This window comes from Homo sapiens, chromosome 21 (assembly GCF_000001405.40).
Source record: "Homo sapiens chromosome 21, GRCh38.p14 Primary Assembly".
NCBI lineage: Eukaryota > Metazoa > Chordata > Mammalia > Primates > Hominidae > Homo > Homo sapiens.
The window spans coordinates 29,433,935-29,457,197 of NC_000021.9; the positions used below are offsets into that span (position 1 = coordinate 29,433,935).

Here is a 23,263-nt window from a genome sequence, read left to right on the forward strand (position 1 = left end):
TTTTTCTTAGCTTCCTCCTTCCCTGCTGTATTTGAGGCATGCCTAACAACTCTCTTTCATTGTTATTTATTTATATTGCTAAGAACTATGGGAAAACACATAGATTGACGAAAGTAACAGATCTCAGAGAATGAATCTCAAAATATACTCAAGTAATTGATATGGTTTGGCTGTGTCCCCATCCAAATCTCACCTTGAATTGTAGCTCCCATAATTCCCACGTGTTGTGGGAGGAACCTAATCAGAGTTAATTGAATCATAGGGGTGATTTCCCCCATGCTGTTCTTGAAGTAGTGAATAAGTCTCACGAGATCTGAATGTTTTATAAGGGGAAATCCCTTTCACTTGGTTTTCATTCTCTCTCGTCTGCCACCATGAAAGATGTGCGTTTCACGTTCCACTATGATTGTGAGGCCTCCCCAGCTGCATGGAACTGTGAGTCCCTTAAACCTCTTTTTCTTTATAAATTAACCAGTCTCGGGTATGTCTTTATCAGCAGTGTGGAAACAGACTAATACAGCGATTGTCTCTAGAATTCACTGAATTGTAAACAAGGCTACATATACATTCTGGTAGCGTCCTTTCTAGATTCCTTCCATGGCTGTTCCCTACTTCTTTTGTTAGTGTTTTCTTTTTTTTCCCTCTAGTTCTGTCTATGTTGGGCACTTGCTGGGGATGCTTAGAAGTCAGCCTAAGGTCCAGTAGGTCTGGTCCTGTTGTCCCTGGACTGTGCTGGTCTTGTCTTCCTGTTTTTTATTGTTCTAGCACCCCTTTACTAACCTTTAGGCTAATGTTTAAATTGACCTTAGTCTAAATGGCATGTTCAAAGGCGAAGTGGCCTTTATGATGTGATCATCCTTGGATTAATTTTTAGGTTATTATTTCCTCTCTCAGCCTTGATCCTTGGGGATGCCAATTTTATTTGCTGGTTCTGCTACCGGTGGAGGGTGTCCAGGTTCTCGGTGTCTTGAACATAAATTGGACAAAACGTACAAAGAAAGAAAGAATGAAGCAACTAAAGCAGAGATTTATTGAAATCAGAAACATACTCCACAAGGTAGGAGTGGGCCGAGCATACGGCTCAAGGGCCTGGTTACAGAATTTTCTGGAGTTTAAATTCTCTCTAGAGGTTTCCATTGGTTACTTAGTGTACCATCCTATGCAGATGAAGAGGCTAAAGTGAAGTTACAAAGTTATTTACTTGGTGTACACCCTATGCAAAGTGGATGTGTACACCCTATGCAAAGTGGATGTGTACACCCTATGCAAAGTGGATGTGTACACCCTATGCAAAGAAGAGGATGTTTCCTGTCATAGCTGAAGTAGAGTTACAAAGTTATTTACTTGGACTTAGAAGGCTGGGTTGGGGTTTTTCCATTTAATTTAGTTCTAGGAAGTCCTTAGGTTCCCTGCCTCCAGACCCTATTTCCTGCCTCAGTTCCTAGTTCCAATCCTTGGTTCTGGTTAAAAGTTTTCTACAGGCCACCTGAATTTTAGACGAAAGGTTCTTTCTAGCGATGTGGTGGTAAATGTTTAACAACTTGCTTTTAGAAAAAAAAGAAAAACCTGATTTGTAGCATTTGCCAATTTCTCTCGTGTAAATACTACCACTATGGTCAATTTCAAATCCCCAGTGTGATGCCATGGAACTCAGAATTGGAATGGAATGAACGTAACTGACTCTCACTAGCTGGCTCTATCACCCCCTTAGTCAGTTCTCTAACTCATTTGTGGAATGGAGAAAGCAACTTAATTCTTTCTTAATTTTTGCATTTTGTCATTCCCCACCCCTCCCCCCACCATCCCTGGAAGACACACCAGGCTGATCTCATAGTTCTTCTGGTGATTTTTAGTATTAAAATATTCACTAAAGTCTAATACAATTGTTTATTCAAGTTAAAACTTCTTCCCTATTCCAGTTTGTACTTGACCTCATCTGTAAGCCTACTGTTGAGCAGAAAAACATGTACCAGTTACCAATGCCAGGTGAAGATTCCAACTATCTGGAGGATAGACAAGGTCATCATAATGCCAGCCACCTGTAATAGAAATCCAAACACTTATGCCCACTGTATCTTAGTATTGGAGTCGCCAAGGAAAACGCAGTACTGTCAAGCACTGGCTGGAGCAACGCTTTTACTCACATAGAGAAGAGACAGGGTGAGATCAGCTCCAACAATGTGCATGAGTCTTGCATGGCTAGTGGGCCCCTCTGGCAGCCAATGCAGGGCAAGAGGCCTTCACATACCCATCCTGTACTGCAGTAGTAGGACGCTGACCCTTCCCCTGTGGGGCCTGAAATACTGAAAGCTGGGGGTGTGCTTGAGGGCCGTTGACACATATGATTAAGACTAACAGAGGAGCACACACAGAGCCTGGAACTTGGCAAGGAAGTGTTCCAGGCACAAGGCCCATTCTTATGGGGCAGAGCATGGGGACTGCCTTTCATCTCTATTTTTTTGTCTTGCTCTTTTACTCCTCCCACACCCCCGCCCTTGCTGCTTCCTGCTTCTCCGGGCTTAAAGACTGTAGTGGTGCAGCGTATTGGTGAGTGGGAGAGAAGGCCTTATTTCTCTGTTAGACTTGGTGGGTCTGGGGGTGGCAGATGTCCCTAGCTGCCTCTTTCTCTTATGGTACACTATTATGGCTTCCTTGGAGAGTCCTCCCTGAGGATCTCCAATTCCGGTTTTCTGGCAAGGAGCTTCCTCTTCCAGCTGGCTGTTTCCTGTTTCCCCTTAGATCCTGGATCTGTCTACATCTAGCCTCTTTATTCACTTTTGTCCTCTTCAACTCTAGACATACATCTGACACCAATAAATCCTGCCGTTTGGCTGTGTCTCAGGCAGGCTGCTACAGGTGCTCTCTCTCCTTTGGACTTTCTAAGAGTGAGGCTGGTACCATCCTGGAAGTTGAAGGGACACATGCCCTCCACCTGGTTCCCTTAAAGCCATCTTCTCTTCACTACAGGTGAGGAAGGGAAGTGCCACAACACAGAATACCATACACATCCTTCATCTTCAATCTCTTCAGCCTCTTGTGAACCCCAAATATCTGAGACAGGCCTCAATCAATTTAGAAAGTTTATTTTGCTAAGGTTAAGGATGCGCCTGTGACCCAACCTCAGGAGGTCCTGATGACATGTGCCCAAAGTGGTTGGGGCACAATTGGTTTTATGCATTTTAGGGAGACATGAGACATCAATCAATATGTGTAAGATGTACATTGGTTTGGTTTGGAAAGGCAGGACAATGCTAAGTGGGGAGGGGGCTTCCAGGTTGTAAGTATATAAGTGACAAGTGTTTGCAGTCTTTTGAGTTTCTGATTAGTTTTTCCTAAGGAGGCAATCAGATATGCATTTATCTCAGTGAGTGGAGGGATGACTTTGAGTTTATCTTAGTAGCTATCTTTCTTAGGAATAGAATGGGAAAAAAGTTTCCCTAAGCAGTTCCCAGCTTGGCTTTTCCCTTTGGCTTAGTGATTTTGGGGTCCCGAGATTTATTTTCCTTTCACATTCCTCATGAGGATTTCCTTTCAAATAGTTCTTCCCTTTGAACAAATAATTTCATTCCTGGGGATCAGTCCTAAGGAACTAAGCCCAAATAATAAAAAAGCTTTCTGCTCAAAGATATTCTTTTCATCTTTTTTAAAAAGCTTTTCCTAACATGTTCTGATGGGGGCAGGTGACTGGCAAAGGCTGTTAGAACTGGTTTTAGCCACACGAAGGATCCTTGGGAGGTAATTTAGGGTCTCAGGTGAAAATATGAGGCAGGAAGGGTCACATTTTAACATCCTGCTACAAATGATTTCTTGGATCCCACCAAAGACCGTTTATTAAGTCTGTATTCCCCACATTCTTCTCTCTGGCTAGATAATTCCCTACTGTGACTTTTTGTATCTTTACAATTATTTTCTAGTGGCAGACTTCGGCAGCAATGCAAGTTTACCACATATACTGGCTTTCTGGTCTATCTCAACATGTCTTCCCACCACTCACTTTTTTTTTTTCTTCATTTTTGGCCCATACTGAGGGGTTGCCAGAATATTTTCTCTTATTTTTTTAAACAAATTCGGTTTTATGTCAAGATTACTAAAATTAATTTTGACATGGTATTGCCCATGGTAATTTTGTGTATGTTACAATTCATAATAAATTAACCAGAGTATTTTTTCACAGGCTCCTACCCACTGCATATTTTTATCATCTAACACATAGAAAATGTGTCAGTCTGTTAGATTCAATGCAAGTGCTCAGAGAAGTCTTTGTAACTGTACTTTAGATTTTGAGAATTCATTCATGGTTCCAATACATGGCATTTTACATGTAACATCGCAAATGGGTTTCATTTTAAGCATTCTTTAAATATGGAGCTTGTGAATTACAAAAGAATCTTTTATTTTACACCAGAATACTTCACATCTTATGGAAACTCATCATTGATTTTATTTAAAAGAACTAGTTTTTCAAGAACACCTAAACATTTAATTATCATTAAATCAATTAACTTGTAACCTCAGGATTATCTAACTATCAATCTGGAATGTCCAGTCAAGACAATGAAATATTAAACATATTTAAGGGGTTATAAATATGTGGAGGGAGGAACTAAGTGACAGTATTGAAAACTTTAAATATATGGGGATTACATTATATTAATGTATTTAATTGGTATGTTTATTATATATGGATTATGATATATTATTAGAAGTTTAAATAAACACAAAAAATATTAAATTTTATAAAAGGGTAAATAATGAGGCTAAATATAAGTTAAACATAAAATATTTGATTAGCTTTTCTTCATAACCCTATAAGTACTTAGGTTACATAGTATAATAAAATAGAATGTCCATGTGCATAAATAGCACAAATCTGCAATTAGTAGAAATGACCTGAATAGGCCAGGCCCAGTGGCTCATGCCTGTAACCCCAGCACTCTGGGAGGCTGAGGTGGACAGATCACTTGGGGCCAAGAGTTTGAGACCAGCCTGGCCAACATAACGAAACCCCATTTCTACTAAAAATACAAAAATTAGCCGGACATGGAGGCACATGCCTATAATCCCAGTGACTCGGGAGGTTGAAGCACGAAAATCACGTGAGTCTGGGAGGCAGAGGTCACAATGAGGTGACAGCGCACCATTGCATTCCAGCCTGGGTGACAGAAGGAAACTGTCTCAAAATAAATAAATAAATAAAATAAGATAACCTGAATAAAAATTATTTAAAAAATTTTTAAAAACTGTAAGAGATTACCTAATGCCCTAAAGTAAAACTGTAGCAAATGAAAGATGTACATTTTATCAGGAGGTAGGGTTAAATAGTAAAAAATTATCTTTTTTCAAATTAATTTATCATTTTAATATTATAATTCAAAGTCCAGATGGGATTCTTTTGAGAGAAACTTTGTAAAAAAAAAAATTAAGAAAAATATTTTTTTTCTTAAAATAGAATATTAATAAGTGGTGGAGAATTGTACCATATATTAAGAAGTATTATGAAGCTTGGATTCCTTAAGCAGTGTGGGCTTGATATAGGCTAATCACTAGAACCAGGTAGCTCAGATGAACTCTATGATAGGTAAGCTGCAATATATGGTAAAGGAGGCACCACAAACTAATGGTTAAAAAAGTAGTATTTAATAAGTAGTGTTGGGACAACTGGTTATCTGTTTACAAAAAAAGATATCTTTGGATTCTTACCTCTTACCATACACCCCCCAAAAATCTACAAGAATAAAAGAGACTTGAAAAAATCATATAAATTTAAAAGTTTAGAAGAAAACTATCAAATCTCTGTTTGGGGGAAGGTTTACCAACTTAAAAATAATGGAAAAACTGTAAGGACAGAGATAGATGTTAATGCCATAAAAATAATAACTTATGCCTATAAAAAAATCAAAGGGCAAATACTTTGGACATTTTTTGAATCAATTGTGAATCACATTCATTTTCTTCCTTATGAAAAGCCACAGAAATCAATACTGGAAACATTTATTTATTTATTTATTCATTATACTTTAAGTTCTAGGGTACATGTGTATAACATGCAGGTTTGTTACATATGTATATATGTGTCGTGTTGGTGTGCTGCACCCATTAACTCGTCGTTTACATTGGGTATATCTCCTAATGCTATCCCTCCCCTCTTCTCCCACCCCATGACAGGCCCCGGTGTGTGCTGTTCCCCATCCTGTGTCCAAGTGTTCTCATTGTTCAATTCTCACCTATAAGTGAGAACATGCAGTGTTTGGTTTTCTGTCCTTGCGATAGTTTTCTCAGAATGATGGTTTCCAGCTTCATCCATGTCCCTACAAAGGACATGAACTCATCTTTTTTTATGGCTGCATAGTATTCCATGGTGTATATGTGCCACATTTTCTTAATTCAGTCTATCATTGTTGGACTTTTGGATTGGTTCCAAGTCTTTGCTATTGTGAATAGTGCCGCAATAAACATACGCATGCATGTGTCTTTATAGCAGCATGATTTATAATCCTTTTGGTATATACCCAGTAATGGGATGGCTGGGTCAAATGGTATTTCTAGTTCTAGATCCTTGAGGAATCGCCACACTGTCTTCCACAATGGTTGAACTAGTTTACAGTCCCACCAACAGTGTAAAAGTGTTAATAATGGAAACTTTAAAATCATGATAGATAATGTGCAAAAATCATTGCTAGAAAATCATAAAAGATGAGCAACAACTAATAAATGAAAATGTGGAAATATTTCAACACATGGTGATCAAGATTTGCAAATTAAGATAAGAAAAAAAGTATTTCTTCCCAGCAAATTCACAAACATAAGCTGTTTTTAATGAGACAACTTACTGCTAATAACTTAAGGGTATCTTGTAGAGAGGAGTGCCAATTGTTGCAAGTCTTTTGGAAAAACTTTGATAATGTATACCAAAACCCTTCAAGTATTTCTTCCCTTTGAACTAATAACTCTATTCCTGAAAATTTATCCCAAGAAACAAAGACCAAATGAAAAACCTTTCTGTTTAGGGATATTCTTTTCTGGCTTAATGTGATAGCAAAAATTGGTAACCATTTTAACATGCCATAGAATAAAATAGTTAAGTAAGGTCAGGAATCACCACTCAATGAGATATTATGTAATTGTTTTGAAATACTTTGTAAAAATTTATAATAAGAGAAATGTTCATGCCATAATATTAAGAAAGCAAGGTACTTTCATTATATGTTATGAATGTTTATATATAGGAGTTCAGAGTTCCATATACAGAATGATCACAATTACATAAAAAGGAAAAAGGAATAAAACAAAACCCCAAATTCCATTTAGATAAATGAATAAAGAAAATCATTTCATCAAGTGTTAACATTGATATTGTTTTGGTTAGTGGGAGTACGGTTGATTTTTTGTCTCCCTTTTTTTCCTGTTGTTTTCCCTAATGAGCATATATCACTTTGAGAATGGACAAAACAAGAAAGTTTTGAAACGTAGTATACTCACACATAATGGTTTCCCTGTATTGATCTACATAAATGTGTGATTTTATTAAGCGGAAGTCTATTAGTACAAAAATCTACTTCCTATTACAGTTTGTCACTTCAGGCAGTTATTAAGGTCTTTCCCACCTTAAAGAATATAAACCTATTTCTTTAGTTCTGCAGCCTAAGTTAAAAGGTGAAGTAAGTGCTAACATTTCTTTTTTTAAGAAAGAGCATCAATTTCAGCACAGACTTTCCACCTAGCACTGAAAATGTCACTGGGAAATTGTAGTCCTTAACCTAAAAGCTTAAAATCTCAATTATACGGATGAATCAGTTGAGACTCATGAATAATATGAAAAGGTCTTTTAATCATAAAAAGGCCTGGACAATGAAATGAATCACTTTGAGGTTAGCTATTTTTATAGAAAATGAGATTTTTTTTTTTCAAATAGTTGAAAGCGTGAATGGTGCAACTGGAAATCATTCCAACAGTGCAGGAAAAAATAGAGCTATAAATAAAATGAAGAAACAAGTAAGCAACTAGGAAACGGAAGAGCAAGCTGAAGCAGCAATAGAGGCTGAAAAACCAGCAGTGAATTCAAGACAGGAATCTGTAAGTGCACTCAAAAGATGACATAAACAGAGAGAAAAGACCCTCTTCGTAATGTGTGGACCCATGTGATTTTCAGAATCTGGTTTTATGTACTGTAAAAGAGGATTATAAGTTAGGGCCTTTGGAAAGAAATAATTTTTTGCCACTATTTCTATTTTATTGTATTTTGATATGGGGTCTCACTCTGTTACCGAGGCTGGAGTCAGTGGCTAGATACTGGTTCATTGCAACCTCAACTTCCCCTGGCTCAAGTGATCCTCCTGCCTCCGCCTCCTGAGAAGCTAAAACTACAGGTGCAGGCCACCAGGCCTGGCTAATTTTTAAAAGTTTTTGTACAGATGGGGTTTCACCATGTTGCCCAGGCTGGTCTCAAACTTTTGAGCTCAAGTAATCCTCCGACCTTGGACTCCCAAAGTGCTTGGATTACAGGTATGAGCCAGCATGCCTGGCTGCTATTATTTCCAAAATAATAACACAAATAATTATTAGAAGTAATAATAATCATATAATTTCCAGATTCTAATAACTCATTTTGAAAAATATGGTTTTCATAGCTGATTGAAGAACTACAGATTGTTAGACAGGTATTAACCCTAGTAAAGGTGTGATACCTTCATGGAGTCAACCTAAAAACGCAGACAAGAGAGCAAAAATCCCAGTCTTATGGGAATTTCTAAAACTGGATTGTCCTTTAGTTTTCTAAAAGTGCTTTTTCATGCAACATCTACAAAATTCAACTCATTCTACAAGTTTGATGTGCAGAGGAAAACAATTATTTTTTTCTATCATTGATCTCTCCTTCCTCTTGGGAACTCACCTGCTGGTTAGAGGGGGATATGTGCAGCCAGTTTAAAGCATGCACCAATCTGATGAGTTAGGCCTTCAAAGCAGCATTCAGACCCTGTTGTGTAATAGTTTTTAGTGTCTTAAAAGAGCATTCTCTCCCTAAGCTTCTATCCCTAGATGGAGTCCAGGAATATGCCAGATTTCCTTCTGCCTTTGGGTCCTTTTGGATCCTATTTTCTTCAGATGGTGATATGGTTTGGCTGTGTCCCAAATCTCATCTTGAATTGTAGCTCCCATAATTCCCACATGTCATGGGAGGGACCCAGTGGGAGGTAATTGAATCATGGGTGAGGTTACCTCCATGCTGTTCTTGTGATAATGAGTGAGTTCTCACGAGATCTGATTTTTTTTTTTTTATTATTATACTTTAAGTTTTAGGGTACATGTGCACATTGTGCAGGTTAGTTACATATGTATACATGTGCCGTGCTGGTGCGCTGCACCCACTAACTCGTCATCTAGCATTAGGTATATCTCCCAATGCTATCCCTCCCCCCTCCCCCCACCCCACCACAGTCCCCAGAGTGTGATATTCCCCTTCCTGTGTCCATGTGATCTCATTGTTCAATTCCCACCTATGAGTGAGAATATGCGGTGTTTGGTTTTTTGTTCTTGCCATAGTTTACTGAGAATGGATTAAAAAGTCAGGAAACAACAGGTGCTGGAGATGATGTGGAGAAATAGGAACACTTTTACACTGTTGGTGGGACTGTAAACTAGAGCTGATGGTTTTATAAGGGGATTTCCCCCTTTTGCTCAGCACAGTTCTGTTGCCATGTGAAGAAGGTCATGGTTGCTTCCCCTTCCACCATGATTGTAAGTTCCCCAAGGCCTCCCCAGCCCTGAAGAACTGAGTCAATTTCACCTCTTTCTGTTATAAATTATTCAGTCTTGGTTATTTCTTCATAGCAGTGTGAGAACAGACTAATACAGATGGCCAAGATTGTAGCTGGAAAACTCCCAATCCCTTGTAATGGCTTAGGCATTGTTAAAGGAATGGCATGCCATTTCCCCTTCTGTTCTCAGAGCATAAAGCTTTTTTGATTAAATTATTTTCTTTAAATTTTCTGTGCTTATATATAAGTGCATGTATGTTCATGTTTGTGTGTGTGTTTCATGGGGATAAGAAAGATGAGGAGAAAAAACATAGGTAATACAATCCATTTAGTGTCTCTAAAGTGCTAGGCATTTATAGTATCATTATCTTATTTGCTCTCTGTGGAAATCTTAGCCACAGTTATCATCACTTTCTAATCAATGAAGATAGTAAAGCTGCAGTATATCAGAATGGAGCCTGTGTCTATTTGATCTCAAAGATTGTGTTCATTCCATTCCTTAAAGAACTAAAAGTAGAACTACCATGTGATCCAGCAATCTCACTCCTGGGTATCTTCCCACAGGAAAAGAAGTCATTATACAAAAAAGATACTTGCACACACATGTTTATAGCAGCACAATTAGCAATTGCAAATATATGGAACCAGCCCAAATGCCCATCAATCAATGAGTGGATAAAGAAATTGTGGAATATATATACCATGGACTACTACTCAGCCATAAAAAGGAATGAAATAATGACATTTGCAGCAACCTGGATGGAATTGGAGACCATTATTCTAAGTGAAGTAACTCGGGAATGGAAAACCAAACATCATATGTTCTTACTCACAAGTGGGAGCTAAACTATAAGGATGAAAAGACATAGGAATGATACAATGGACTTTGGGAACTCAGGGGAAAGTGTTGCAGTGGGCTGAGGGATAAAAGACTACACGTTGGGTATAAGGTACAGTACTCGGGTGATGGGTGCACCAAAATCTCAGAAATCACCATGAAAGAACTTACTCAGGTAATCAAACACCACCTGTTCCTCAAAAACCTATTTAAATAATTTTAAAAATGCAAAAAACAAAAAGAGATTGCACTCTTTCCTTTATCTCTTGGGAGTGGTAAAGTGGAAAAAATAGTTTTTTATGGCCTTTGGTGTTCAATTTGTAATGTTGCCATCCAAATCAGTTGTACCAGTTTGCAGTGTTACAAATTGTACAGAGTATTTCTAGTGTGGTAACATCCTTATTCAATCTGTGTGCTATTTCCAGAAGTGTTTTCTAATTTGTAGGTCCATGTTAATATTTCAAGTTTGCTTTAATGTGCAATCTTTGATGTTTAGTGAGAATGAACACATTTCCATTTGTTTGTTTAAATGTAATTGTGTTCTTTCTTGTACAAATTGTTACATATTTTCAATTTTAATGCTAGGGCATTTTTGCCTTTTAAAATAAATTTTAATGAGATGATATTTTATAGAAATATTTGACATACTCAATATCAAATATTGTTCATAGTCTACTGGTTTCTTTATCAATTGAGTTTTTAATATATCATTTTAAGTTTTACATATCTAAATTTGTCAGTTTTTTCTTATGATTTTGATTGGTACTTTAGGCTTGAGAAAAATTATTATTTGTCTGCAGATATAATCAATATTTTAATTATTCTAATTTTTATGAATTTGTTAATTTTATAATGTTTTATAATGTTTTAACATCTAACACAACTTAATTCTTCTAAGAGCAATACTTTGCTTTTCTTATATTTTAAAAACCAGTGACACTTTTTTCAGTGTTTTTATAATATTCCAATTATTCTAAACACTTTTCTAAAATTGATTTTGGAAATATTTTGTTATCTTCCCACCCCTCTCTATTGAGAGTTTGAATGCAATGGTAATACTTCTACAAATTAACTTTGAAGAAATATTAATCTCTTTATCAAGGTTTAAATTATAACTTCACTTATTAAAGTTTTTCTTTATATTTCCTACTTAACATTTTTCATTATAAAAGTTCTATGTAGCTTTTAATTAAGCTTTTTCATGAATATTTGCTAACTCTATTATTCTTGAGAATAGATCTCTTTTATTATTATGCTTTAGCTTCCTTTTACGGGATATAAGACTTTGATGAACTTTTTGGATGTTCTATCTTTTCATTTCACTGTTATTATTTCTAATTGGTAATTTATCTCTAATAGCAGATTTATTCGGCTCTTTTAATGATGCAATTATTCTAATTGTGCATAATAATTTTTCAGTTCCCAATATGATTTTTATATCTTACTTGAATCTTAATGATATTTATTATTATTTTAGAAAAACAGTTGTAGAAGAGACATCAATTAATTTGCCGGTCTTGTCCAATCTCCCTTTCTAACTGTTCTGCTTGCTAGCTCAGCACTATATGTGTGCTTCCGTAATGATTGATTGGATAAAAAATGGGCACACGCCTTAGGGAAAGCTGATTCATCTGCCAGCCAGCAACCAGCAGGTTAGGAGTCAGACAGGAGCTATAAGTTCATGTACTGTTGATACTGAGTTCCCACACACATGCACACTCACATGTATGACACACGTGTACACACACATACATGTGCACACACACACCAACCCACAAAAGCCAATCCAAGAGAACATTCAGACTCGGAAAGAGCTGTTTTGTTATCTTTCAACTTCTCGTGAGAAGCAGTTTTCCCTTTAGGTTTTTCAATTAATTAATTAATTAATTAATTAACTTTTTGAGGCAGGGTCTCTCTCTGTTGTCCAGGCTGGAGTGCAATGGAGCTATCGTGGCTCATTGCAGCCTTGACCTCCCAGGCTCAAGTGAGCTTCCTACCTCAGCCTCCCAAGTAGCTGGGACCACAGGCATGCACCACCACGCCTGGCTAATTTTTTAAAATTTATTATAGAAATGGGGTCTCAATATGTTGCTCAGGCTGATCGTAAACTCCTGGGCTCAAGCGATCCTCCTGCTTCAGCCTCCCAAAGTGTTGGGATTATAGGCTGAGCCACTACACCTGGTGTCCCTTTAGGTTTTAGATTCTACTATAATAAACCCTCCTTTCTGTGATCTATCTCTAGTGGGATTCTGTTTCTCAAAACCAAAAATTCTCTGACCAACACAATACTGATAATAGGTATCCTTACTCTTTTCTTGTGTTTAAAATGAATGCCACATATGTTTCAAGTTTTGATTTAATATAAATAATTATAGTAAAGTAAAATTTTTTATTACTTTAAAATTATTGTTATAGGGTATAAAATTTTATTAGATGTACGTGTGTGGGGAAGATCTGTTGAAATTATCACATGCATAATTTCAATAGATGCCCACTAACACATGGATATTTTCTTATTTAATTTATATGTTGTATATTATATCTATAGATAACCAAATATATTAAACTATAACTTCAGCTTTTCTGGTATTTGGTTAAATAATCTTCTCATCACATGACACAATGATGAGAACAGACAATATCTCAAAAGACAAAGACCAGCTGGGTGCCATGGCTCACACCTGTAATCCCAGCACTTTGGGAGGCCAAGGTGGGTGTATCATGAGGTCAGGAGATCGAGACCATCCTGGCTAACACGGTGAAACTCCGTCTCTACTGAAAATACAAAAAATTAGCCAGGCGTGGTGGTGGGTGCCTGTAGTCCCAGCTACTCGGGAGGCTGAGGCAGGAGAATGGCATGAACCCGGGAGGCGGAGCTTGCAGTGAGCCGAGACCCCACTACTGCACTCCATCCTGGGCAACAGAGTGAGACTCAGTCTCAAAAAAAAAAAAAAAAAAAAAAAAAAAAAAAAAAAAAAAGAGACCATGACTTTCTTATTTTTTTCTAGGGGAGCACCACAAATGTATTAACAAAGATACATTTTAACAACTTTTATTTTAGTATTACTGAGTAGCATAATGGTCCTGTTGATGGTTCCATCCCATCCCAAGGCTCTGACTCTGTCCCAGATTCTTAACTTTTCTTCTTATCAAAGCTAGTCTTTTTATAATTTAGGAATAGACTTCCGATAAATATCTGCTTATACCATGTCAGTCTGGAGTGCTGCTGAAAGATATTTTTCCTATCCCTATCCTTCCTAGCACTGCTAAGGGAGTGAGGTCAGACACCACCCAGTAACACAAATAGTGCCATCTTATGGCTCAGCTTCACCATCTTTGCAAAACATGTGTAATACTATACCATGGAATAGTATACCATGTATACCACTTACTAGTACCTGGTATAGTATTTTCATGGTATTATACTATAGCATGTATAACATTAATTTAATCTTTTTTCTCCAACCTTTTAATATGAATACATTCTAACATACAGGAAAGTTGAAAAAATAGTACAGTGGATAAAATGCTTAACACCTCTTCTGTTACCATGGCTTCTTCATTCTCAAGTTTTAAATTTTGACTCATCTATTAATTGGCTAGATTTTATTGTCATTAAGAAGGAATTCATGGATTTTTTTACTTTTTAATATTTATTTATTTATGAGACAGAGTGAGTCTTGCTCTGTCACCCAGGCTGGAGTGCAATGGCACAATCTCAGCTCACTGCAACCTCCACCTCTCGGGTTCCAGCAATTCTGCCTCAGCCTCCCAAGTAGCTGGAATTACAGGTGCACACCACCATACACAGCTGAATTTTGTATTTTTTTTTAGTAGAGACAGGGTTTCACCATGTTGGCCAGGCTGGTCTCAAACTCCTGACTTTTGATCCGCCTGCCTCAGCTTCCCAAAGTGCTGGGATTACAGGCGTGAGCCACCGCGCCTGGCCTCATGGATGTTTTTATTCCTTCGTTTCTTCTATGTTCAATAATGTCTACCTGATGCTATGTGAACAACCTCTCTTGGCTGGAGATAATTCTCTTGGGGGAACCATTTTTTTTCCCTTAGAGATTAATAGACATTATTCCATCATCACCTGGCATTCATTGGTATGGTGAATAAATCTACGGCCAGCATGATTTTTTTTCTTTTTGTGAGTGATGTGCATTATTTGTCTGGATGACTGTGTAATTGTTTATTCTTGATGTTACTTAGTCTACTAGATGGTTCTTGGTGTTGAAAATCCCCTATAACACTTGATATGTTCAATTATGATATGAGCTTTTGTTCAGGCTCATTGGTTGCTCTTTGAATTTTGGGATATATGTATATATATATCGTATTGTATAATACGATATATATATTGTATTACAACTTACAACATATTTTTTCAGTTTCACTTGTTGATTATCTCACGGGCACCAATTCTTCTTTGGCTATATCATCTTTGTCCTCCATGTAACTTAGTTCCTTTCTAATTGTTTAGATGTCTTTGTTTTTTAAATTTGCATTCATTATTTTTATGTTCAATTTTCCACATGTTAGTAGCTTGCTCTTTAGCAATGTCTATTCAGTTCCTTGCTAGTTCTAATACGTTTTTTAGTTCAGAAATGATGTTGATTTGAGCATCAATTTATTGCCTCAGCTAGGCAATTTCTCTTTTCATCTTATTCTATCCTTTTACCATCTTACCGTATTCATTTAATAATTACGTTGTTTCATAGCATAACACAGTGGTAGAGCACTTTCCCTCGTTCATTGAGTAATTTTTCCTTCTAGCATTGGTTCTTTGTCTTTTTGACATTCTGCTCCCTTTTCTACTCCCACCCTTTTGGCTGTCACATGTTTGCATTGTTGCCGTGCTATTTTTTTTCTTCTTGCTTATGACTTGGCAGTCCTGTGCTGATGTTCCATTTGATCTGGTATAGAGCTGGGTGATTTCTTAACCCTCTTCCTGTCATATGAGAGTTTGTTTTCCTCTGTAAGCTACAGTTTGATAGTTAAGTCTTTTGCTTCTACCCATTTTTGAGTCGCCTAAGGAGAAAATAGAGGATACGAAGAAAGGTCGGCTGAGGAGCTCTCTTTTAGGATATTTAGGATCTTTTGTGCCTTTGAGGTTTTTTGTCACATACGTGTTCTGTAACACTTGGCTAGGAATCATATATTTTATTTCCGCTTGGAGGCAGGAAGGGCCTTGAGCTTTAGCTTGTTCTTCAGTTGTACTTCAATACAGGATGTAGGTCTGTAGTTTCCATTTTCATCAGAGAGAGTTATGTACATTGTCTGCTTTCTCCATTTAACCTGCCTCACCCCAGGAACCACTCCATCATTCTTCTGTTAAGAGAGAAAATGATACAGATATATGTTCAGTCTGCTTCTGTTCAGGTTGAGGGTATTAACAACAAATTTCAGAACTTTGTAACCTCAGTGACACTCCTTCTGGGATAAGCTGAGGTCCACTAGGAGGGAACTGGTTTGGATGCCAGCTGTACTGCACCCCTCCCCTCCACTGAAGAATGCCCCCTCCCCTGCAACTTTCCTTCCACGATTTCGTTTAATTATTTTTCCTTCTGTAGGTTGCTGTAGCTCTTCTTTGCTCACTTGCTAAGTGTCAGGGGAGGCAAGTTCTGTGTTGCACTTTAAATTTATTATGTTCATTCAGAAACCCTGCTAAACACCTTAATAGCAATGCTGGGAGGAGAATATTAGCATGCCCAGGCAGCAAAGGAACAACAAAGCCCAGGGTTGTTAAGCGATGTGCTTATGGCCGCATAAATTAGTATGTGGAAGATTCAGAAAGCAGGCCCATTTTTTTCCATTCCAGACCATAGCTTTTTTTTTTTTTTTTTTTTTTGAGACTGAATCTCAGTCACCCAGGCTGGAGTGTGCAGTGGTGCGATCTTGGCTCACTGCAACCTCTGCCTCCCGGGTTCAAGTGATTTTTGTGCCTCAGCCTCCTGAGTAGCAGGAATTACAGGAGCCTGCCACCACGCCCTGCTCAGTTTTGTAATTTTAGTAAAGATGGGGTTTCACTATGTTGGCCAGGCTGGTCTTGAACTCCTGACCTCAAATGATCCCCCCAACTCAGCCACCCAAAGTTCTGGGATTACAGGCGTGAGCCACTGCGCCCAACCCAGACCATAGCTTTTTGTATTACAGTCCCAAATACAAGTTAATTATTTCATCAATTAAACAAAAATATACACATATATATTATATAATGTATATACATATATATACATATGTATATATTATATTGTATATATGTATATATAAACATTATATATATATGTATTTATACGTATATTTTATATATACATATGTGTGTGTGTGTGTATGTATAGTTCTACAGTCCTTGACGTATTTTGAAAATTCCAAAATTGGCTGGGTGCGGTGGCTCACATCTGTAATCCCAGCACTTTGGGAGGTTGAGGCATGCTGATCATCTGAGGCCGGGAGTTTGAGACTAGGCTGACCAACATGGAGAAACCCTGTGTCTACTAAAAATACAAAATTGCCTGGGTGTGGTGGCGCATGCCTGTAATCCCAGCTACTTGGGAGGCTGAGGCAGGACAATCATTTGAACTCAGGAGGCGGAGATTGTGATGAACCAAGATCATACCATTGCACTCCAGCCTGGGCAACAAGAGCGAAACTCCGTCTCAGAAAAAAAAAAAAGAAAATTCCAAAATGAAGGGTTATTTGGGAAAAATCTATAAGCTTACCTTTGTTCAATAGACACATTCATGAACAGCTGTGTGTAAAGTTATGTCTAGATAGAACAATATTTAAAATGCATAATTGTGTACACTATTTTAAATAACCCTGGATAAGATATTCCAAAATTTAAGGAAAATTGTAGTAATTTGATTTTTTAAATATACACATTTTAGTTTTGTGTGTGTGCATGTTTAGAGTGAAGCACACTCATATAGGAAGTTATTGGCTGAGCATGGTGGCTCATGCCTGTAATCCCAGCACTTTGGGAGGCTGAGGCTGGTGGATCATGAGGTCAGGAGTTCGAGACCAGCCTGGTCAACCTGGTGAAACCTCCCTCTCTACTAAAAATACAAAAATTAGCTGGGTATGGTGGCACACGCCTGTAATCCAAACTTACTCGGGACACTGAGTCAGGAGAATCACTTGAACTTGGGAGGTGAAGGTTGCAGTGAGCCAAGATCATGCCACTGCACTCTAGCCTGGGCGACAGAGTGAGACTCCATCTCGAAAAAAAAAAAAGAAGCTGTCAATATCAAGAGGCTTTGTAAAACCTCCTTTGAAGGCATTTAAATGAGAATTTTTTTTTTTTTTTTTGAGACAGGGTCTCATTCTGTCGCCCAGGCTGGAGTGCAGTGGTGCAATCTCGGCTCACTGGAGCCTATACCTCCCGGGTTCAAGTGATTCTCTTGCCTCAGCCTCCCGAGTAGCTGGGGCTACAGGTATGCACCACCACGCCTGGCTAAGTTTTGTATTTTCAGTAGAGACGGGGTTTCACCATGTTGGCCAGGCTGGTCTTGAACTCCTGACCTCAAGTGATCCGCCCTCCTCAGCCTCCCAAAGTACTGGGATGACAGGCGTGAGCCACCGCACCTGTCCTGTTTTTCATTTTTATTTTTTTACCTAAGCTAGGACGTTTTGTTTTTGTTTATTTTGATCTGTACTTGCTGTCCCTGGGTATAATGTGTAGAGGGTTCTGTGTTAGGGCCTGAGTCTTATTTGTATACTCATCGCTCCAATTTTCTGATTCAGTGGTTCTTATCCTACCCTGTACACAAATATTATCTAGGATGTTTGTTAAAATATAGCTGGGACCCAATTAGAAATTCTGACTCAAAAGTATTGGGGTAGGACTTAGGAGTCTGCATTTTAACAAGATCTCTAGTTCCTTTTAAGGAAGATAGTCCATTGACTACAATTTTAGAAACACTGCTTTAGATCATTTAATAGTTGAGATTTGGTGTATCAAGGGGCATTTCCCCAGCTTGGTTATCAGAGATGGAAGTATTCCTCATGTCTCACAATAGCCCTAAAGGATAGAACACCTGATATAAAATGGTGCTCTTAGTCACATAGAAAAGAATGTGGAATTTAAGATAGTAATGTTAGGGGTAGACATTTGAATAAATAATTTTTGCCTAATTAGCTTTCAATGGTTAGCTTATGACAGAAAATGTGCAAAGGCAGATATTAGAATTTTACAATCCTTCTGATTGAAAATAGTAATTTTTTATTTTTTTTTCTGTTCTATTTAGACCTTTAATGGCCTGGGTGATATCCACCTACCTCGGTGAGGACAGTTTTTTTTACTCAGTTTACTGAGTCAAATGCTAATCTCTTCCAGAAAGACCCTCACAAATACACCCAGAAATAGTGTTTTACTAACTATCTGGGCATCCCTAAGCCCAGTCAAGTTGACATATAAAATTAACCATCACACAGGAGGCCATTTAAAAGTTTTTTTGTGAGGCTCAATTACGATAATCCATGTACAAGCTTTCTGAAATGCGTAAGTTATGATACATTTGAAAAGTGTAACATCACTGATGCTCCTTGCCATAAACTTAGGCAATATGAAACAATCTTGCTCTTAGAACCACTTCAAATGATTGGTAAATTGGGGTCACTTATGGTAATTTTATTTATAATCTTTAATCTTGTATCTACATCTCTTTTCTCCTCTTCCTTCTCTTACATTCAGTAAATCTAAGGCTTCTTTGAGTTTCTGTGCCCTCTCTTACCTATTGGCAATGTCTGTAAAGACACAGCTCACCTCTTTCTTCTCTTCTGGGAAATATTATTAGCCATTATGCTTTCAGCCCACATTTGTTCACTTATTATTTCCCTGTGTAGACCCTACAAAATGGGAACCAGATCTTTTTCTATAGTTTTAGATAAAGGTAGTCTGGCAGTTTTCTAGAGAAATTCATTATTAGAAATTTATTCTAATGGGAACCCATTTTTGGCTTACTCTGTTGGTTGCTTTGACCTCTGTTTTTCCTTGCAGAGCTCGACTTATTAATATCATTTAGGAGCACTGGGAAACATCATTCTGCATATTTATCAGGCAATTCATACACACATCCCTACAGTTCAGTGTATAGAGCTTCTCTGTTTTGGACTTAAACTGAAAGATTTTAATGACTGGTCGTATTGGCCCAGCTCCTAATATGCAGATGAATCATTGTGTCTGCACTGCGGAGTGTTGGCCATCTTTTTACTTCTGCTTTTCTTAAGTAGATGCAAATATTGAGGGGATCCTAAAGAAGGACAGGAAGAGTACCAGCATTTTTTTTTTTCTAAATCTGCCACTAAAGTCCCTTTGGATTGGATTTTAGATAGTCATGGCATTTGAATAACCTGCATTTATTAATCTCTGGAAATAAGTGAAAAACTAGAAAAGGCTGAACGTACAATCAATATAATGCAATACTGGGGCCTAACAAAGTGGATAAATGATATTTATCAGCAGGCGACTGCTGTTTAATTCACAGGCACAAATGCCCACATTCATCTGTGACACTGAATCAGTTTTCTTGTGAGTGTTGTCTTCCCTGAGGTTTCTTTCTCTTACTCTTCTCTCCTTGCTCAAATTTCAGAGTTGTCATCCACAATTCTGGGAAAGGTGATGTTTCACTTGCTTCATTCAATAAAGATGGGGTTTAGGGGGGTGACACAAGGTATGGCTACCAATGTCTAATGCTGGTATTATATCCTTTATCCAGTATGCTGGGGAGAAAGTACAATCATTTTGCTTTACTTCATAGCTATCTGGTTCATTAAATCCCATGAGTCTTGGTAAATTATGAAGCAATTATTGATTTTGTTGTGGTCAACATCAAGATATATATTGATTTTCCCACCAGTCAATAGTTTCCAGAGGCATAATCAATATTGATGTTTGCTGAACATGTGTGTTAATGTCAGTGTGGGTATATGTACTTAGATCTCTACACTCAGATATTTATTTTATACTCTTTCTGAACGTTTTTGTAAAAAACTATTTTCTCCCAAAGATCCTATTATTTTTTGGCTGATTTATTCAGTTCTTCCTTTTTGCTTTACATTTTTAATCTCATTTATTCTTCCCCGGATTGATAATGGAAAGGAAAACTAAGGCTTTGGAAGAAGTCTATTTGCCTTTAATGAACCGGTTGGGGGTGAGTCTTCCTGATGAGATTGTGATTAATTGCAAAGTGAGTATTACTTCTTGTCTCCATCCTGTCGGTTCGATAGAATGACAAAAAAAGTTGAAGACTTTCACTCTCCATTCCAGCATCTACCAGACCAACATAACTCAGTAAGCACATCTGAGAATCCCCCTCATTTACTCCCAGTACTTTTTTCAATTATGTGGAACATAGACGAACAGGTCAAACTTGGATTTAGACAAAGTTAAATGATCAACTACATGATGCAATTTAATGGGCACAAAAATAAAAAAAAAAAAAACCTCTTACTGTCTTACATAATAGCCTAAAGTCTACCAGTAGGAATTTATTATAAATATCCTCTTAGAAAATTCAGATTGCTCCTGAGTAAATTAGAATATCAGGAAACTCACCCTTAGCCATCTATTGAACACATACTAGATATCTAGTTCTTTGCTATCATTTTGAGTTGGCACTTTACTTGGTTGACTCCGTGGTTCTTTAGTCTTTATCTGCACTCCACGTTTCTTTAAGCTAGCTGATGTTTCTCATATATTAATTGGCTTCTTCGACCAGTGAGGCAAATGAATTAGTACTCATTTCATCAGTGAGTTTTTTCTTTTCATCTAGAAAGATGCATTCCATCTAGGAAATGGGGGATTTGATGGCATGTGAGAAAGGTGAGAAGAAAGGAATAAATTTAAAGTACAGCAAATTGCCATCCTATACATGCATGTGTGCATGCCCTCTGGTATATATGTATCAGATGCTAGGTGGTAAGCAATAATTTGCCATGAAGCAGTTTGGTAGGGGTGAACTTCTCAGAGTAATTTCAAGCCAGTTATTGACTCCCAATAACAACTTAGCATTCTGATTCCCAGAGGATAATGTGGTCAAGAAAAGAGAAAGATAACGCATACATGACAAAATCAACCTCCCTCATTAAAACAATTTCCCTAATTGATCAGTGCTTCAGAGCATTCCATGTAGTGGCCGGGGAAAAAGTGCAGTACAGAAAAAAACTGGTTCTTGCAAAAGAGAGATAGCTTTGATGTGACAGAGACAGTGTGACAATAACCAAGTCCACTTTTCTGTAATACTGATCTGCCAATGCTTTGTATAGTGCTTAAGACCCATGTGGAGAAAATAGCAGTTCACATTCTGTTGATGCATATTTAAAGCTAAGAACTTAAAAATGAGATTTTATGTTTGAATTGTTTTTGTTGCTATACTTTTGAGCCAGTGTGATTCTTTATAAAATGCATCAACATGATTTTCAAACGTTACATGGGGATAAAAGAAAAGCCATTCTAAAGTTAAATATATAGATTTTCGCGAAGCTTATATAGTCAAGGTAGCCTTTTTACTTTTGACTTCTAATATAAAGAGGAATTATGTTGAAAGCAGTTCATGTGGAAGCAAAGTATTGTTCCTGCAGAATACAGGAATAGATGGACAATTTGTGAATGGCTCCTTTTTCCTTCCCCTTTCATGCTATGTAAAAATCTGGATTATAAAACATATCTGTACAAGGGCCTTTTTTTTTTTTTTCTGAAAGCCCACATGGATCTGGAGGATATGTAACATCAAAATGTTTTGTTGTCTCTCCTGCAGGGACCCCATGGGGACCATTTTTTTCATGGCTACAGACTCAGTTTGACTTGGGTCTGGAATGGCCTTGGTGTTTCGAGGAAGGAGACAAGCAGTTCTTGCCTTTCACGTGAATTGTCCATCATTAATCCCATATTTAATGGCTCCTGGTGGAGCTGTACTCCATTCCTTGCTGTGATATCCCAGGAAATGTTCCTACTGGCTCCTGGAAAATTGTGAGGAAAATTAAGTTTGATTTGGATACCCAAAGCATCCACTGTGTACCATTTCATTCCTCACCTCAACAATCCCTCTTTCGTGGCTCATGGTCTTATGTTCTTATGTATTACACAAATATTATTATATGTTCATATATTTTACCTTATATTTTCATTTATTAAGAGTAAGGTTTTGATATGAGTACTATAAATATGAGCCAGTATATGGTTATTAATAATTAAAACAATATTATTTATACATTTATTATTATGCAATGAAAACTTGTTCCTTATATAAGAGAAATTTTAGGAATAGCAGCAAATGGGGAGATACATTCGGTACAAGGACTTTAATAGTGACACTGAAGTGACTGGTTTCAGCAGCCACTTTGGCCTATATGGCCTTGCCTCGAGACCTCTAGAAATGGCATCATTAGGCCTTCTTCTTTCTGAGTTCTTTCCTTCATAAGTTATGTACCTGATAAGGACTTTATGCATCAGAAAGTATGGCGTAGTATAGAACAATACAGGCAGCATGGCACAGTGGAAGGAACTCAGGGCTAGTTGTCAAGAGATTTGGGTTCTTCTGCGTGCTTAATGCTAGTTTTATGATTTGGACAAATCACATCGCCTACCTGGACATCGGTGTCTACATCTGTGGGATGATGATGATGATGACAGTTAAGTGCTTAACAATAACGAACTCATTTAATC

At 37.5% G+C, this 23,263-nt stretch overlaps 1 long non-coding RNA gene across 1 annotated transcript in view; it reads left to right on the forward strand.

Annotated features, from left to right (window-relative positions):
- The first annotated feature begins 354 nt into the window (after window positions 1-354).
- Window positions 355-23,263, forward strand: part of LOC107985486 (uncharacterized) — a 39,395-nt gene continuing 16,486 nt past the window's right edge. The window contains exon 1 of the long non-coding RNA XR_001754998.2: window positions 355-435. This is a non-coding gene — a long non-coding RNA (uncharacterized LOC107985486). The remainder of the gene's footprint in view (window positions 436-23,263) is intronic.